The sequence below is a fragment of the Homo sapiens genome, chromosome 15 (assembly GCF_000001405.40).
Source record: "Homo sapiens chromosome 15, GRCh38.p14 Primary Assembly".
In the NCBI taxonomy this organism is placed as follows: domain Eukaryota; kingdom Metazoa; phylum Chordata; class Mammalia; order Primates; family Hominidae; genus Homo; species Homo sapiens.
In genome coordinates this window covers 44,576,682-44,595,645 of record NC_000015.10, presented here as the reverse complement: position 1 = coordinate 44,595,645, position 18,964 = coordinate 44,576,682, and the positions used below count along the sequence as shown (strand labels likewise).

General features: G+C 42.4%; 1 protein-coding gene across 8 annotated transcripts in view, besides 4 other annotated features; it reads left to right on the top strand.

Moving 5' to 3' along the window:
* SPG11 (SPG11 vesicle trafficking associated, spatacsin) overlaps positions 1–18,964 on the top strand; it is a 100,967-nt gene that overhangs the window by 68,017 nt on the left and 13,986 nt on the right. For 4 of the 8 annotated variants that reach the window (NM_001160227.2, NM_025137.4, XM_047433144.1 and 1 more), the window contains 5 exons: positions 187–387; positions 3,208–3,315; positions 6,232–6,394; positions 9,796–10,010; positions 11,088–11,832. In NM_001160227.2, the coding sequence (NP_001153699.1) occupies positions 187–387; positions 3,208–3,315; positions 6,232–6,394; positions 9,796–10,010; positions 11,088–11,832 (1,432 nt within the window). Of the gene's footprint in view, positions 1–186; positions 388–3,207; positions 3,316–4,958; positions 5,553–6,231; positions 6,395–9,795; positions 10,011–11,087; positions 11,833–18,964 lie in introns of those variants that run through there. The other 4 variants (NM_001411132.1, XM_006720701.4, XM_017022635.3 and 1 more) reach the window with 4 other exon arrangements.
* Positions 2,468–2,567: an enhancer, noted in NCBI's record as "active region_9340". NCBI's record gives its function as "activates an Ori minimal core promoter by ATAC-STARR-seq in GM12878 lymphoblastoid cells {active_cell/tissue: GM12878}" and the evidence as "EXISTENCE:reporter gene assay evidence [ECO:0000049][PMID:35858748]".
* Positions 7,840–8,051: a silencer, noted in NCBI's record as "fragment chr15:44879793-44880004 (GRCh37/hg19 assembly coordinates)". NCBI's record gives its function as "represses an EF-1alpha promoter that drives an FKBP-Casp9 reporter gene in an ReSE screen in K562 erythroleukemia cells {active_cell/tissue: K562}" and the evidence as "EXISTENCE:reporter gene assay evidence [ECO:0000049][PMID:32094911]".
* Positions 11,202–11,251: a silencer, noted in NCBI's record as "silent region_6398". NCBI's record gives its function as "represses an Ori minimal core promoter by ATAC-STARR-seq in GM12878 lymphoblastoid cells {active_cell/tissue: GM12878}" and the evidence as "EXISTENCE:reporter gene assay evidence [ECO:0000049][PMID:35858748]".
* Positions 13,069–13,240: a silencer, noted in NCBI's record as "fragment chr15:44874604-44874775 (GRCh37/hg19 assembly coordinates)". NCBI's record gives its function as "represses an EF-1alpha promoter that drives an FKBP-Casp9 reporter gene in an ReSE screen in HepG2 liver carcinoma cells {active_cell/tissue: HepG2}" and the evidence as "EXISTENCE:reporter gene assay evidence [ECO:0000049][PMID:32094911]".

Sequence of the window (18,964 nt, the reverse complement as noted above, 5' to 3'; positions counted from 1 at the left end):
CTCTGCAGGACAGTTTAGAACAGTCCCTTGGTTGCTCATTAGTTTGTTTCATGTTTGAAGGCTTTTCAAGCCATTTTAACTAATTAAGTTGGGTGACTTATTCTAAACAGGAAATATCCATCTGTAGTATTTGTACATTTGCCAGGTAATCCAGGCCTAGTTGTTATTTTATTTATCCCGTGGCAGGGTGCCAGTGCCATTTCTTGTCTCTGTGTTTGGATCATCACTTCTGTGGAGGACAATGTTGCAACTGAAGCAATGGGACACATTCAGGACTCAACAGAGGACCATACCTGGAACCTTGAGGATCTTTCAGTCATCTGGAGAACATTATTAACAAGACAAAAGAGCAAAACTCTCATCAGAGGTTTCCAGCTTTTCTTTAAGGTAGTGATAGTTGCTTCACTTCTTTCCAGAGCTTAAGAGATTACTTCAGCATATCCCTTCTTGGCTTTTTCTTATTTCCATCCCTGGATTTTTTTTTAGCCAACAACAGATAATGATGATAATATTAGAAGTACCACTTACTGGCCAGGCGCAGTGGCTCACGCCTGTAATCCCAGCACTTTGGGAGGCTGAGGCGGGTGGATCACTTGAGGTCAGGAGTTTGAGACCAGCCTGTTCAACATGGTGAAACCCTGTCTCTACTAAAAATACAAAAATTAGCCAGGCATGGTGGCGTGGGCCTGTAATCCCAGCTACTCAGGAGGCTGAGGCAGGATAATTGCTTGAACCTGGGAGGTGGAGGTTGCAGTGAGCCGAGATCGTGCCACTGCACTCCAGCCTGGATGACAGGGCAAGACTGTCTCAAAAACAACAACAACAACAAAAGTACCATTTACTTAGCAAAGTCGTATTTATTTTATTTTGTTTTTTGAGACAGGGTCCTACTCTGTCATCCAGGTTGTAAGGTTGTAGTTCAGTGTCATAATAAGGCTCACTCCAGCCTCAACCTCCAAGGCTCAGGTGATCCTCCCAACTCAGCCTCCCAGATGGCTAGGAAAACAGGCACACACCACCATGCCTGGCTTTTTTTTTTTTTTTTTTTTCGCATTTTTAATAGAGACAGGGTTTTGCCATGTTGACCAGGCTAGGCTAGTCTTGAACTCTTGGGCTCAGTGATCCTCCTGCCTCATCTTCCCAGAGCACTGGGATTACAGGCATCAGTCACCACACCTGGCCCAGGGTGGTTTTTTGTTTTTTGTTTTTGTTTTTGTTTTGAGACAGAGTCTCGCTCTGTCACTCAGGCTGGAGTGCAGTGGCACGATCTCGGCTCACTGCAACCTCCGCCTCCCGAGTTCAAGCAATTCTCCTGCCTCAGCCTCCCGAGTAGCTTGGACTACAGGCGCGTGCCACCACGCCCAGCTAATTTTTTGTATTTTTAGTAGAGACGGGGTTTCACCATGTTGGCCAGGCTGGTCTCAATCTCCTGACCTCGTGATCCTCCCACCTCGGCCTCCCAAAGCGCTGGGATTTACAGGCGTGAGCCACCGCTCCAAGCCTCAGGGTGCTTTTTATACATTATTTTAGTGAGTTTTCACAATAATCCTATGTGAAAATAATATTAGATATTATGGGCCAGGCACGGTGGCTCACACCTGTAATCCCAGCACTTTGGGAGGCTGAGACGGGCGGATCATTTGAGGCCAGGAATTTGTGATGAGCCTGGCCAACATGGCAAAACCCCGTCTCTACTAAAAATACAAAAAAAAAAAAGAAAAGAAAAAAGCCGGGCGTGGCAGGATGCACCTGTAAACCCAGCTGCTTGGGAAGCTGAGGCACGAGAATCACTTGAACCCGCAAGGTGGAAGTTGCAGTGAGCCAAGATCACACCACTGCACTGCAGCCTGGGTGACAGAGCAAGACCGTGTCTCAAAAAAAAAAAAAAAAAGATATTATGAAGTGATGTTGCTCTCATTTGACAGACTAATAAATCAAGGCTCACAAAACTTAAGTAACTTATCCAAGGTCTCAAAATACTTCAGTAAGTGGTGTATTTACAGTTCAGAGCCATACTTTCTAATTCAGAACTCCTATTATCTGACTGAGCGACTCCCACTGACAACAATAAAATGTATGAATCAGTGCCACAGGCAACAGTAGGTAAGGTGGATCAGTAGAGCAGATTATCCAGGTGTGTGTGTTTAAAATGTTATGCCTGGGCATGCTAGCGCACACTTGTAATGCCAGCCCTTTGGGAAGCCTAGGCGGATGGATCACTTGAGTCCAAGAGTTCAAGACCAGCCTGGCAACACAGTGAACCCCGTCTCTACAAAAAATACAAAAACTAGTTGGGCACGGTGGCACGCACCTCTAGTCCCAGCTACTCTAGAAGCTGAGGTGGGAGGATCACCTGAGGTCAAGGCTGTAGTGAGTGAGCTGTGATCATGCCACTGCACTCCAGCCTGGGCGACAGAATGAGGCTATGTCTCAAAAAAAATAATAAAAAATAATAATAAAGGTGTCATAGCACCATCTAGTGGAATGCTTCCTGCCTGTGTGCAATAGGCCAAGTATAGAGTAGACAGAAAATTGATTGTTGAGTAGGTATAACTGGACTGAGTATCATTTTTCCAAAAGGAAAAGAAATTATATTTAACTTTAACGTACATGATTTAATCTGTGAAGCTATTGCTAATAGCATTTCTTTTTTTTTTTTTTGAGGCAGAGTCTTGCTCTGTTGCCCAGGCTGGAGTGCAGTGATGTGATCATAGCTACAGCTACAACCTCTAGGTCTCAAGTGATCCTCCCTCAACTTCCCGAGTAGCTGGGACTATAGGCACATGCCACCACACTTGGCTAATGTTATTTATTTATTTATTTATTGAGACAGAGTCTCACTCTGTCGCCCAGGATGGAATGCAGTGGCACAGTCTTGGCTCATTGCAACCTCCACCTCCCAGGTTCAAGTGATTCTCATGCCTCAGCCTCTGGAGTAGCTGTGATTGCAGGCATGCACCACCATGCCTGGCTACTTTTTTATATTTTAAGTAGAGATGGGGTTTCATCATGTTGGCCAGGGTGGTCTCGAACTCCTGGCCTTAGGTGATCCCACTGGCTCGGCTTCCCAAAGTGCTGGCATTACAGGCATGAGCCACTGTGCCCTGCCTTATTAATAGCATTTTTAACATTCTCTTATTTGGCATTATTCATTGAAAAAATATTAAGTTCAAAATTTTGTAATTTTTTTCAAACTCTTTGTCAAAGGATTCCCCGTTACTACTGGTGATGGAGATGTATGAACTGTGTATGTTCTTCAGGAATTATAAAGAAGCTGAAGCTAAACTTCTGGAGTTTCAGAAGAGCCTTGAAACGGTAAGTTGGAATTATGGTGCTCTTTCTCACTGATCTGCACTTGGTTGGCATGCATGGACTTTTTTGTTTTTGTTTAAAGACTTGGTGTCTCACTCGGTTACTCAGGCACAGTGTTACGATCACAGCTCACTACAGCCTTGAACTCCTGGGCTCAAGGGATCCTCCTGCCTCAGCCTCCCAAGTAGCGTGGCTAATTTTTAATCTTTTTTTTTTTTTTTTTGAGACAGTGTCTGGCTCTGTCGCCCAGGCTGGAGTGCGGTGGCATGATCTCCGCTCACTGTAACCTCCACCTCCCAGGTTCAAGCGATTCTCCTGCCTCAGCCTCCAGAGTAGCTGGGATTACAGGTGCCCACCACCACACCCAGCTAACGTTTTGTATTTTTAGTAGAGACAGGGTTTCACCATGTTGGTCAGGCTGGTCTTGAACTCCTGACCTCAAGTGATCCACCCACTTCAGCCTCCTGAAGTGCTGGGATTACAGGCGTAAGCCACTGCACCCGATCATTTTTAATATTTTTTTTATAGAGAAGAAGTCTTGCTTTGTTGCCCAGGCTGGTTTGGAACTCCTTGCCTCAAGCAGTCCTCCTGCCTCGGCCTCTCAAAGTGTTGGGATGACAGGCATGAGCCACCATGTCCGGCCACACTGGTCTTCACTGTAATGAAGATTTGAAAGTTATATATTTGAAAATACCAAATCAGTTATTTGAATATGCCTAGGATTCTAAAACCACAGAAAATAGGCACATTAATTTCCTTAGCCTATTACTCCCTATGGCCAGTTGGCTACCTCCCAGGTATCTTCTTATTCTTGCCTGACCAGCTTAACCAGTTCCATCATCTGTTCACATTTGTTCCTCTTCTTAGAGCAACAGAGTTAGGTATACAAGTAATTAAATAAAGACTAAGCACTAATGCCCTAATCCCAGCTAATTTTAACAAGGACACTCAGGAGGATAAAGAATCAAGAAGAGAAATATTTTTTAAAAAAGAATAGAAGTATTATATAACTTTTGTTCTTCTAAACATCAAAATCCAGTCAGAATGGTTATAGAAAACATTCAGGAACAGTGTCTAAGCAGGAATAGTAGCAATTTAGTGAGCTGACTACCAGTGTTCTTTCTCATAATAATTCCCTTAAACAACTTTGCATTAAGGGAGATGCTGCAAAAGCAAAATGATCTTTTTACTTAGAGTAGGTAAGTCCTATTGGAATTTAAGAGAAGAGGATGAGAAATGGACAGGGAGGACCACATAGGGCATAGGAAAGACAGTAGAGAAGGAAATTCATTCCAAATAGAGGTAAGAAGATAGCAGTAATGTGACACATGATTTTATAAACCATTCCTTAATTTAAGATCTTGGCAGTCTTGAGAATTCCATTGAAGGGAATATTGTCTTCTAAAACCTACGTCACAGCCAAAAAGCCCTGCATGTTAAACTTACCTTCAGAATGACTTTTATGGTGTGTTCAGAAGTATACAGGAAGTATTCAGCCAAGACTAGGGCCTAACTCAGCACTAGGCACAGAGGTACTGAATTATAAGTTTTTGGTGCCTATTAACATATACGTGTTTTGAAACCCGGCAGTTAAGTTTCTATTCCACCAAAACGCCCAGTATTTTTTGTGATTATGTTGTATGAAGTCTAGAGTGAACTACGAGACTATAGTGACTGAGAACCAAATATTAGTCTTCCAAAAATAATACGAAGCAAGAACCAAAGTAAAAATCAGGAATGAAGTCACAAAAGAAGCATCTGTTGGGCGCTATCATCATAGCTGTAATCCCAGCACTCAGGGAGGCAGAGGTGGGAGAATGGCTTGAGGCCAGGAGTTCGACCAGCCTGGGCAACATAGTGAAGACCCTGTTCTTTACCAACACAAAGGAAAGAAAAAAAAACAGCAGCAGCAGGTAAGAAAGCACCACTCCTCTGAAATCAGCCTTTTCCTGCAGCATCCTAGAAGATATTTTTGCCACACCTACTTGTAGAAATGCAGCCTGCCACTTGAATTCATCTTCCTATTAATATTTTTAGCATTCAGTTGAAATGATGTAAATCCAAGCTTCTTAACTGAGACCGTTCTCTAACAAGAATAAACTACAAGCAAAGTGGTAGAACTAGCGAAGTAATGTTAGGCACGTCTTTCTAAGCGGTTTTTATAATGTGAATTTAAAATCCTCTGGATTCAAGGGCAGGCCTACATCCCTCTTTAAAGAAGTTGCTAGGCCAGGCACGGTGGCTTACGCCTGTAATCCCAGCACTTTGGGAGGCCAAGGCAGGCGGATCATCAGGTCAGGAGTTCGAGACCAGTCTGACCAACATGGTGAAACCCCATCTCTATTAAAAATACAAAAAAATTAGCCAGGCGTGGTGGCGTGTGCCTGTAATCCCAGCTACTCAGGAGGCTGAGGCAGGAGAAATCACTTGAAGCCGGGAGGCAGAGGTTACAGTGAGCCAAGATTGCACCACTGTACTCCAGCCTAGGCAACAGAGTGAGACTGCGTCTCAAAAAATAAAATAAAAATAAAGAAGCTGCTAAGTGAAACATCTGGTTAATTTTACAGTGACTCAAAGGGCTATTAATTTGACAGTCACTAAGTAGGAATATTTTACATTAACTCTGTAGTTAGCATTCAGTCTTTAGGACTCTTGCCCATCTTTTTCACACATGCAGCTCTATACCAGAACTTTCCACAAAGAGACAATGTGCAAAGCTGCTGAGGAGGGCTTGTTTTTGCCAGTCCTCTGAGCCCCATTACCAGTTCCTGCCATTTGGAAAGGAACTGAGTAAGTGCCTCATGACAGGCGATGGCTTTTGAGGGAATTTTAGCTTTCTTAGAGGTTCCCAGATTTGGAGGTTTTGATTTGCTATTCTCATGAAACTGCTTTCCCTAAGCTTCTCTTTTTCTTTCATAGCTTAACACAGCAGCCACAAAGGTCCACCCTGTCATCCCTGCCATGTGGCTGGAGGATCAGGTGTGTTTCCTTTTGAAGCTTATGCTACAGCAGTGTAAGACCCAGTATGAGCTGGGGAAGCTTTTACAGCTCTTTGTTGAAAGAGAGCATCTCTTCTCTGATGGTAAGACAATCCTTACAGTTAAGTTGCTATTAAGAAGTTAGCTTTCTTAATCTTGAAAATACTTTAGAGGGGTAGTTAGGAAATTAAAATGCATGTAACATTAACTTACAGTCTACAACTGGGAGTAAACAAGTTACAGAGAACTTTAAATTGTGGTTAAAATATTCAAGAAATAATACAACAGCATAAAACATAAATGATATAACCAATCATCTCATTCTAAGCAGTTACCAAATAGCCACATTTCCTCCTGGCTGGCTTCTACATTACCCTGTTGTGGGGGTCCAACCCACAGACGCTGACCTAGCAACAGATCAAGACATACACTGACAGAGATATTTTGCCTGTCAGTCCAGCTAAGGGGCTCTGCTCTGAGTCTGGAGCATTGCTTCATAAGCTGGCAAAGTTTGCATTTATTTAGTACAGATTAAATGGCAAAGGTTTTGAGTAAACACCATTAGACGGTAATTAACATTGCCGATCCCCTGAGTAGAGAGCAATTATGTACCCGCGGTTGATCAAAGGTTGGTCTTAGGACCACATGAGTAAACAAGCTATTTAGATATACTTCCCCACATTCCCTTGTTATTTGCTTTTTTGCTATCAACTAAAGGTAAAGAGGATTAGGCTGCCTTCAGCCAAATCTGTCACTGAAGCTATGCAAACGGCCCAGCCTTCTGAGAAGGTTTGTGTTTATTTCCTATAACTATCTTATATAATTTTTCCTATATTAGTATATAATTATTCTTATATAATATTTCCTATAACTATTATAGTTTTTCCTCTACAATTTTTCCCACCACCCTGACTTAACTCCCACACCCTGTCACTATCTTCTTCTCTATGGCAAGTAACCTTAGCATTGCTCAGGGTCACAAACCCTATTTCAGAAATGCACAATTCATTTTTAAAGTTTCAGAGAAAATTGTGCTTGTTTTTTTGTTTGTTTTTTTTTTTGCAGATTCCTCAAGATGTTGGCAGTCTCTAAACTTGTTGCTGATTGACTCAAACAAATATTGCCTTACTATCTTTTCCACTTGTTTGATAATTTCAAGTTTTTTATTGAATGATAATGTTGTTCTTTTATACTATATTCTGACAGTTTGGCTACTAGGGTTATTTTCTCACATTTAAACTCACAGATGTTCAGCTGGAGAGCTCAGATTTGCACAGAACACTGACAGAATCCTGAGCTCAGAGCCAGTTGTTGCAGGCTGTGGATCTGATGACTAAAAGGAAAAAGAGGTGTTTCCAAAATGTAGTGGATATAAGATGGCACTTACCAGTTACTGTGCAGACCAAATGATAAGTCCTTTTAACATATAGGTGTTTTCATTGATCTGTAGTAATAATTTTTTTCAAAAATGAATTTCCTGTTGTTTGCCATAATCTATCTTTGAATAATTATAAGAATTGACTACATTGTTAAACATGACTATAATAGTTTTATTCTATAATTTTTTATATTTTTAGAAATTGTGTTACTATGTGTGCGTATTTAACATTTATTTGCTTAGAGAACAGGAATACGTTTTTTTTTTTTTTTTTTTTTTTTTTTGAGACAGTCTGGCTCTGTTGCCCAAGCTGGAGTGCAGTGGCACGTTCTCAGCTCACTGCAACTGCAACCTCTGCCTCCCAGGCTCAAGTGATTCTCCCACCTCAACCTCCTGAATAGCTGGAATTACAGGCACACACCACCACACCTGGCTAATTTTTGTATCTTTTATTAGAAATAGGGTTTTGCCACGTTGCCCAGCTAGTCCCAAGCTCCTGAGCTCAAGCACTCCTCCCGCCTTGGCCTCCCATGGTGCTGGGATTACAAGCATGAACCACTGTGCCCAGCCAGGAATATGTTCTGTAAAAACGTGTTTTATATGATTGTGCAGGGTGTCTTACTGTCCCCAGAACTACCTGAATCAGACTGCTGCCCAGCAGGTGGCACTGGAAATAACCTCCTGTGGAATGTTTCTCATGCCCCTCTCTTATGGTAGGACACACATAGACTCTACTTAGACTGTTTGGGAAAGGGAGCAAACTCAGCCACATAAATTGTTGGCAGAGAATTCTTTGTTTTTGTTTAATAGAGAGAAAGGTCTTGCCATGTTGCACAGGCTGGTCTTGAACTCCTGGCCTCAAGCGATCCCTCTTGCCTTGGTCTCCCAAAGTTCTGGGAATATAGGCGTGAGCCACTGCACCTGGCCAAGAATTCTTAGTGTTACTAATACTTTCCAAGGGACATCAGGAGGAGCTCAGTTAGGTCTCCCTGGGTTAAGTAGATAAATTTTAGAGGTGCAAGTGATGCTTCATTCTGAATACAGTGTGCCACATTAGAGCCTAGGCTATTGGCCAGCTGGAGATTTAACTGTCCTACAAGTTCTCTGTCTTGATCCACATGATTCCTGCATTGAATGAACAAATGACCACTAAATCAGACAAATTTGATCAAGGTAGGAGATAAATCCAGAAAGAGAGAGACCAGTCTGAATGACTAAAATCTTCCTACTGTGTTTCTACTACATTGAAGGCCACCAACCTCTGCCCTGTATATAAAGCCAGATGTGTAGATTGAGTTCATGTGCTAATCTCTAACAGTTTTTTTTTTCTTTTTGAGACAGAGTCTCACTCTATTGCCCAGGCTGGAGTACAATGGCACCATCTCGGCTCACTTCAACCTCCGCCTCCCAGGTTCAAGTGATTATCCTGCCTCAGCCTCTCGAGTAGCTGGGATTACAGGCGTGTGCCACCACACGCCTGGCTAATTTTTGTATTTTTAGTAGAGACGGGGTTTCACCATATTGGCCAGGCTGGTCTTTCCTGACCTCAAGTGATCCACCCACCTCGGCCTCCCAAACTGCTGGGATTACAGGCGTGAGCCACTACGCCTAGCCATTAATCTGTAACACCTCTTACTATATGACAAGCAAGTTCAGTCAGACTTTACCACTAACAATTTTGCAGGACCATTTTTTTTGGTATACAGCTACCTTATGGCTTCCTCTGCTAGTCAACCAGAGTAGAAAAATAGTTTTTTTTGTCCGGGCACGGTCGAGAGCAGCCTGGACAACATGGTGAAATCCCATCTCTACTAAAAGTACAAAAATTAGCCAGGTGTGGTGGTGTACACCTGTAGTCCCCACTACTCAGGAGGCCGAGGCAGGAGGATCCCTTGAACCCAGGAGGTGCAGGTTGCAGCGAGCGGAGATCACACCACTGCATTCCAGCCTAGGTGACAGTGAGACTCCATCTCAAAAAAAAAAAAAAAAAAAAACAGCTTTTTATTTTTCCTTTAACCACATTACTATGTTAAACACGTATATTTTCCCCCTGATATGTATTACTCTTGAAATGCTGTAGTGGCATTTTATTGACTAAATGTTTATATCCTTTTCTCTTTGGCACAGGTCCAGATGTGAAAAAGCTTTGCATCCTTTGCCAGATTTTGAAGGATACATCCATAGCCATTAATCATACAATTATTACCAGCTACAGCATTGAGAATCTTCAGCATGAATGTAGATCTATTTTGGAAAGACTGCAGACAGATGGACAATTCGCTTTGGCCAGGAGGGTAGCAGAATTAGCTGAGTTACCTGTGGACAACTTGGTTATTAAAGAGGTATCATCGGTCTTTTTTTTTTTTTTTTTTTTTAGATACGGGGTCTTGCTCTGTCACCCAGGCTGGAGTGCAGTGGCGCGATCTCCGCTCGCTGCAAGCTCCGCCTCTCGGGTTCATGCAATTCTCCTGCCTCAGCCTCCCGAGTAGCTGGGACTACAGGTGCCCACCACCATGCCCGGCTGAATTTTTTTTTTTTTTTTTTTTTGTATTTTTAGTAGAGATGGGGTTTCACTGTGTTAGCCAGGATGGTCTTGATCTGACCTTGTGATCCGCCCGCCTCTGCCTCCCAAAGTGCTGGGATTACAGGCGTGAGCCACCACGCCCAGCCTCATTGGTCTTTTTAAGTTATTTAAAATCTTAGCTTTTAAAATCAGCATTAAACAGTAAATCAAATGAGATGTATAATTTATAGGAGATAAGACTTTTTTTTTTACTTTTGACACACACATTACTTTCAGAAATGGATGAGCCTACAATTCCCATGATTGAGAAATGTGTGCTGCAAATGTAACATTAGTTTGTAGGATATGCTACAACTATTTTCCTTTGAATAGAATTAAATATAAGGGGGCTTCCACTTAAACCCCATTCCATGAGATCAATCAAGAATTGTTTTTCATACCATAACTTTCCAGATAAAATATCTAGGGTCATCTGTAGCCAAATCTCTGTTCTCTGATTTGATTTGGTTTTAACAAGTATGATAAGGCCAGGTGCAGTGGCTCATGCCTATAATCCCAGCACTTTGGGAGGGCAAGGCAGGAGGATTGCTTGAGCCCAGGAGTTTAAGACCAGCCTGGGCAACATAGGGAGACCCTGTCTCTACAAAAAATTAAAAATTAGCCAGGCATGATGGCACACACCTGTGGTCCCAGCTACCTGGGAGGCTGAGGTGGGAGGATCTCTTGGGTCCAGCAGGTTGAGGCTGCAGTGTGCTGTGATCGCCACCACTGCTCTCCAGCCTGGGTGACAGACTGAGACCCTGTCCAAACAAGTATGATATACTTAGGGAACATTAGCATTTATGATACTTTTTTATCCAAGAAAGGCTAAAATCTGCTTTGTTAAATTTCACAGATAACACAGGAAATGCAGACCCTAAAACACATTGAACAGTGGTCACTAAAACAAGCAAGAATTGACTTCTGGAAAAAATGCCATGAGAATTTTAAGAAAAATTCAATTTCAAGCAAAGCAGCTTCTTCCTTTTTCTCAACCCAGGCCCATGTGGCATGTGAGCACCCAACTGGATGGAGCAGCATGGAGGAGCGCCATCTGCTGCTCACCTTGGCAGGGCACTGGCTTGCCCAGGAGGACGTGGTGCCCTTGGATAAGCTGGAGGAGCTGGAGAAGCAGATCTGGCTGTGCCGCATCACCCAGCACACTCTTGGAAGAAATCAGGAGGAAACAGAGCCCAGATTTTCTCGACAGATCTCAACTAGTGGTGAACTTTCCTTTGATAGTTTAGCCAGTGAGTTTTCCTTCTCCAAGTTGGCTGCTCTGAACACATCAAAATACTTAGAACTTAACAGCCTTCCATCCAAAGAGACATGCGAGAATAGATTGGATTGGAAAGAGCAGGAGTCACTAAACTTTTTGATTGGGCGCCTACTGGATGATGGCTGTGTGCATGAAGCAAGTAGAGTATGCCGGTATTTTCATTTTTATAATCCAGATGTCGCCTTGGTATTGCACTGCAGAGCACTGGCCTCAGGGGAAGCTAGTATGGAGGATCTGCACCCAGAGATCCATGCTCTCCTACAAAGTGCTGAGCTGCTTGAGGAAGAAGCACCCGACATTCCCCTAAGGAGAGTCCACAGCAGTAAGTGAAGGAGATCAGATGGCCCAGAGTCTTAAATGGCACTGTTAGCACTGTCTCCAAGAAGGAAGGGACCCTTGTGGCAGAATAGTTCTACCAAGTTAAGGGGACAACAACTTTTTTCCAGGTAATCTGTAGACTAGCCAATTAACTAGGCAATGAAATAGAAAGATCTATGTCTTTTAAACTAGCTATGTTTCAAAGTTAAAGGGAATCTATCTGATTTGTAGCTAGTTCACTGAAATTTATTCTACATATTCTATACATCTGTAAATTTAATCATTTCCAGTCTTACATTGATAGTATATAGAAATATGGCTTTTTGTTTTTCTTTTTGGTTTTTTGTTTTTTGTTTTTTGAGATGGTGTTTCATTCTTGTCGCCCAGGCTGGAGTGCAATGGTGTGGTCTCAGCTCACTGCAACCTCCGCCTCCCAGGTTCAAGTGATTCTCCTGCCTTAGCTTCCCAAGTAGCTGGGATTACTGGCTAATTTTTGTATTAGTAGAGACCGGGTTTCACCATGTTGGCCAGGCTGGTCTCGAACTCCTGACCTCAGGCGATTCGTCCACCTCGGCCTCCCAAAGTGCCGAGATTATAGGGCGTGAGCCACCGCACCCGGCCAGAAATCTGTTTTTTATGTTACCTTTATATGACTTTGTTAAACTTGCTTATTCTAGGAGATTTCTTGTAGATTCCTCAAGATTTTCTACATAGACATTCATGTCATCTGCAAATAGAGTTGTATTTCTGCCTTTCCAATCTGTATGCCTTTTATTTCTTGTTCTTGCTTTATTGCACTGACTAGGCCTTTCAGTACTGTGTTGGATAGGGGTGGCGAGAGTGGACATCTGTACCTTTTTACTGACCTTAAAGGGAAATTATTTGATCTTTCATCATTTAAGTATGGTATTAGCTGTAGGTTTTTGAAGACAGGCTTTATCATGTTGAAAAAGTTCCCTTCTGTTCCTGGTTTGCTGAGAATTTTTATCATAAATCAGTTTGAATTTTGTCATGTTATTGCTGTATCTGTTAATCTGATCATGTGGTTTTTTTTTTCGTTAGACTATTAATATAGTAGATTACATTAGTTGATTTTTTAATATTGGACCAGCCTTGAATTCCCCATTTACATAAATCCAATTTGGGCCTGGTGCGTTATTCTTTTTGATTTTTTGCTGGAATCAATTTGCTGTTTTGTTAAAGATTTTTACATGTATGTTCATGAGGAATGTTATTCTGTAATTTTCTTTATTGTACTGTTTTTGTTTTTGAGATGGAGTCTCCCTCTGTCGCCCAGGCCAGAGTGTGGTGGCACAACCTCAGATCACTGCAACCTCTGCCTTTCAGGTTCAAGTGATTCGCCTGCCTCAGCCTCCCGAATAGCTGGGATTACAGGCGTGTACCACCACGCTTGGCTACTTTTTGTATTTTTAGTAGAGATGGGGTTCCACTATATTGGCCAGGCTGGTCTTGAACTCCTTACCTCAAGTGATCCGCCCATCTTGGTCTCCCAAAGTGCTGTGATTACCGGCTTGAGCCACCGTGCCCGGCCTTTTTTTATACTGTTTGGTTTTTGTATCAAGGTAATGTTGGTTTCATGAGTTAGAAAGTACTCCCTCCTCTTTTATTTTCTGGAAAACATTGTGTAGAACTGGTGTTATTTCTTCCTTAAATGCTTAGTAGAATTTACCAGTAAAACTATCTGAGACTGGAGATTTCCATTTTGGAAGATTTTAAACCACAAATTCAATTTCTTAAACAATTACAGGACTATTCAGGTTATCTTTCTTATCTTGGGTGAGTTTTAGCATTTTGTGATTTTCAAGGGAAACTTTTTCTTCTGCTTTTTGGGTTATTTGAACATTTTTTAGTCTTCCATTTTAATTTATTGTGATTTTGACTCTGCATCTTTGTATAGTTTAATTTTATTTTTTTAGAGATGACAGTGTACATCCTTAACTTTCCACAGTATACTTAGAATCAATATTTTACCACCTCAGCTGGAATGTAGGAGGAATCTTACCACCATTTTAGGTCACTTTATTCTTCTCCCTTTACATCCTACTTGTCTTTTATTACTTCTGCATACATTGAAAACCTCATTAAACAATGAGGTTTTTGCTCTTAGCCAAAAAATATATTTTAATAAACCCGCCTTGGCCTCCCAAAGTGCTGGGATTACAGGCGTGAGCCACCACGCCCAGCCTTTTTTTTTTTTTTAATAATCAGTTTTTCATCATCTGAGAATGTCTCTATTTTACTTTCATTCCTAAAGGATGTTTTGCTGGATATAGAAAATTAGTTATTTTCAGGCCAGGTGCAGTGGCTCACACCTGTAATTCCAGCACTTTGGGAGGCTGAGGCAGGCAGATCAGTTGAGCTCAGGAGTTCAAGACCAGCCTGGGCAACATGGCAAAACCCCGTCACTACAAAAAATACAAAAATTAGCCAGGTGTGTTGGCACATGCCTGTAGTCCCAGCTACTTGAGGGGCTAAGGCACGAGGATCGCTTGAGCCCAGGAGGATAAGGCTGCAGTGAGCCATGTTCATGCCACTGCACTCCAGCCTGGGCAACAAAGTAAGAACCTGTCTCAAAAAATAAATAAGAAAATTAGTTATTTTCTTTCAGTGCTTGAAAATGTTGTTCACTTCCTTTTCGCCTCCATGGTGTCTGATGAAAAATCTGCAGTCAGTTGAATCATTGTTCATCTATATAAACAGTGCCTATTTCTCTGGTTGCTCTCGATGTTTTTTTTTCTGTTGTTGGTCTTCAGCAGTTTGATTATATTGTGACTGGATATGTATTTCTTTGGCTTTATTCTATTTGGGGTTTACTGAGCTTCTTGAATATGTAGGTTTATGTGTTTCACCACACTTGGGTACTGATCAGCCATAATTTTGTCAAATATTTTCTCAGCACCATACCCTACCTCCTCTCTTTCTGGAACTTCAAGTACATGAATATATAATTTTTGTTATTATCTCTTAAGTCCTTGAAGTTTTGTTCAGTTTTTGTTTGTTTGTTTTTGAGACGGAGTCTCGCTTTGTCACCAGGCTGGAGTGCAGTGGCGCAATCTCGGCTTACTGCAACCTCTGCCTCCCAGGTTCAAGTGATTGTCCTGCTTCAGCCTCCCAAGTAGCTGGGACTACAGGCGTGCATCACCACACCCAGCTAATTTTTGTATTTTGTATTTTGTATTTTTAGTACAGACAAGGTTTCACCATGTTGGCCAGGATGGCCTCGATCTCTTGACCTCGTGATCTGCCCGCGTCGGCCTCCCAAAGTGCTGGGATTACAGGCGTGAGCCTCTGTGCCTGGCCAGTTCAGTTTTTTTTAAACTTTTTTTCTCTCTGTTGTTCAGATTGGATAATTTCTGTTACTGAATTTTATTTCTATGATTTTAAAATTTCAGTTACAGCCATGCGTTAACAATGAGGTTACATTCTGAGAAATGCATTGTTGGGTGATTTCATCACTGTGTAAACATCTTAGAGCACACTTATACAAACCTAGGTGGTATAGACTTCTACACACCTATACTACATGATATATAGCCTACCGATCCTGGGCTACAAGCCAGTACAGCATGCTACTGTACTGTAGTTGATTATAACACAATGGTAAGTATTTGTGTATCTAGACATATCTAAACATAGAAAAGGTACAGTAAAAAATATGATATAAAGATTTTTTAGCTTCAGGAAATAAACAATTGGAGATTTTCATTTAAAAAATTTTTTTAAATGGTACAATTTGTAAAGGGCTCTTAACGTTAATGGAGCTTGCAGGACTAGAAGTTGCTCTGGTTGTCACTAAGTGGTAAGTAAATGTGAAAACTTAGGACATTACATTACTGTAGACTTTATAAATGCTGTACATTTAGGCTACACTAAATTTATTTAAAAATTAAGTAATTGTGCTATGTCACAATGACTATGATGTCACTAGGTGATAGGAATTTTTCAGCTCTATTATAATCTTACAGGATCCTCACTGTATATGCAGTCCGTTGTTGATGGAAACATGGTTATACAGCACGTAACTGCATTTTTCAGTTCTAAAATTTTCATTTTATTCTTCATATCTGTTTCTTTGCTGAGACTTTCCATTTTTCTGTTTGTCTCAAGACCATTCAGAATTGCTTATTGGAACATTTGTATTATAGCTGCTTTAAATTCTTTGTCAGATGATTTTAACATTTGCATCATTTTAATGCTAGCTAGCATCTCATCTTTTCTCGTGTGAGTTGAAATCTTCCTGCTTTTTCTTTTTTTTTTTTTTTTTTTTTTTGAGACGGAGTCTCACTCTATCGCCCATGCTAGAGTGCAGTGGTGTGACCTCGGCTCACTGCAGCCTCTGCCTCCTGGGTTCAAGCAATTCTCCTGTCTCAGCCTCCCGAGTAGCTGGGACTGGCGCCACCACGCCCAGCTATTTTTGTGTGTTTGTGTATTTTTAGTAGAGATGGGGTTTTGCCATGTTGGCCAGGCTGCTCTCAAACGCCTGACTGCAGGTGATCCACCCACCTCGGCCTCCCAAAGTGCTGAGATTACAGGCGTGAGCCACCACGCCCAGCCCCTCTTCCTGCTTTTTCTTATGCTGAGTAATCTGGGGTTGCATCTGGACATTTTGGGTTTTTTTGTTTTCTTGTTTTTGTTTTTCGAGATGGAGTCTCACTCTGTCACCCAGGCTGGAGTGCAGTGGTGCAATCTCAGCTCACTGCAACCTCGGCCTCCCAGGTTCAAGAGATTCTCATGTCTCAGCCTCCCGAGTAGCTGGGATTACAGGTGTGCACCACCACACCTGGCTAATTATTTTGTATTTTTAGTAGAGACAGGGTTTCGCCATGTTGGCCAGGCTGGTCTCGAACTCCTGACCTCAGGTGATCCACCCACCTTGGCCTCCCAAAGTGTTGGGATTACAGGCATGAGCCGCCACAACTGGCTGCATCTGGACATTTTGAATAGTGTATTATTAAAATACACTATTTGAGACTGTGGATCTTATTTAAATCCTATGAAGGATGTTGATATTTTTTAGCAGACAGTTGACCTGGTTAGGTTCAAGCTGAAGTTCCAAACCACTGCCTGTGCATTGTGGTTTTAACATTAGTTCATTTTCCTTTGCGGTAGTATTCAGATCTGTCCTGTGTGTGCACGCCACCTAGTGGTCAATCTGTGACCTTGGTAGTGATCTGTGCTACTTAGGATCAAGGCCATACATGTGTAGTCCAGGAGTGAGCCCTGTAGTTCATAAAAATGTATTGGGTTGCTTTCCTGGGGCTCTCCCAGCTAGTTTTTCCCCCTGAGGCTTCTCTTTTCAGTTATTTGGCCAAAAGCTGAAGGTTTAGTTACCCCCACTCTGTCTTGCACTACCCTGACTATTCCTACACCCAGGGCCAGGTGACAGGAGGGTAATGCAAAAGCAACAGGGGTCTACTCCGCCCTCCTGAGACCAGAGCGCCCCTGCTCAGAAAAGGAGGCTCCTCTGGCCAGGCGCGGTGGCTCACGCCTGTAATCCCAGCACTTTGGGAGGCCGAGGTGGGCGGATCATGAGGTCAGATCAAGACCATCCTGGCTAACACAGTGAAACCCCATCTCTACTAAAAATACAAAAAAAAAAAAAAAAATAGCCACGCGTGGTGGCGGGCGCCTATAGTCCCAGCTCCTCGGGAGGCTGAGGCAGGAGAATGGTGTGAACCCGGGAGGTGGAGCTTGTAGTGAGCCGAGATCACGCCAATGCACTCCAGCCTGGGCGACAGAGCGAGACTCCGTCTCAAAAAAAAAAAAAAAAAAAAAAAGGAAAGAAGGCTCCCCTTTCTGAGAGCCTTAGCTCTTGCCTGCTGTCACTGCAGCCTCTCCCACCACTGCCAGTGGCTTGCTTGGGAGCCAGGACAAGGAAGAACAGGAATTAGGAGTTCCCCTTTCCACTCTTCAAACTGGTACTAGAGAGCTTCTGGAATTCACACACTCTCGCACTCACACTTCACCTCAGCCCTTAGTTCTTAGGTTTTAGTCAGCGCTGCATTCAGGCCAGAGCTTGCTAGAGGGGGGATAATGATAATTCTGGTCATCTTCAGTTTGCCTGCTACTTTTTACTTTTCCAGAGTCCTTGTATGCCACATGTATTATGTCCAGGTTTTGTATTGAATTCAGTGGGAAAGACACAGTAGATTGAGCTTATTATAACCAACTTACCTAGAATTGGAACTCTCAGTGAAGGATTTAAGCAGGGGAATAGCATGGTCTGAGTTGCATTTTATTTTATTTTATTTTTTTATCTTTAAGAGTTTTTGTTTTGTTTTTTTTTTTTTTTTTGAGATAGGGCCTCACTCTGTTGCCCAGGCTGGAGTGCAGTGGTGCAAACATGGCTCACTGCAGACTCAACCTCCAGGGCTCAAGCAGTCCTCCTGCCTCAGCCTCCTAAGTAGCTGGAACTACAGGTGCACACTACCATCCCCAGCTAATTTTTAAATTTTTTGTAGCAGTGGGGGCTCACTGTGTTGCCCAGGCTGGCCTCAAACTCCTAGGCTCCAGGGATCCTCCCACCTTAGCCTTCCAAAATGATGGGATTACAGGCATGAGCCACCACCTCTGGCCTACAGCACTTTTTAATAATATTTTAAAATAAAAATTGTGCTTAGTGTAGCAAATCACATAACATAGAAACGCATAAAGTAAAAAGTCAGTTCAGACTGGGCACAGTGGCTCATGCCTGTAATCCCAGCACTTTGGGAGGCCAAGGTGGGCAGATCACCTGAGGTCAGGAGTTCAAGACCAGCCTGGCCAACATGGTGAAACTTCATATCTACTAAAAATACAAAAAATTAGCTGGGCGTGGTGGTGCACACCCGTAATCCCAGCTACACTGGAGTCTGAGGCAGGAGAATCGCTTGAACTCAGGAGGCAGAGGTTGCAGTGAACCGAGATGGTGCCACTGCACTCTAGCCTGGGCGACAGAGTGAGACTTCATCACACACAAAAAAAGCCAATTCAACACTACTCCCACAAAATTCCCCAGAATAACTATCTTTTACTTGCTTGGTATGCATTTTCTACTTGTAAGCAACACAATATTTATTTTTTACAAAAAATGAGATTACATCATATTGATCTACATTTTTGTCCTCTCAGTACAT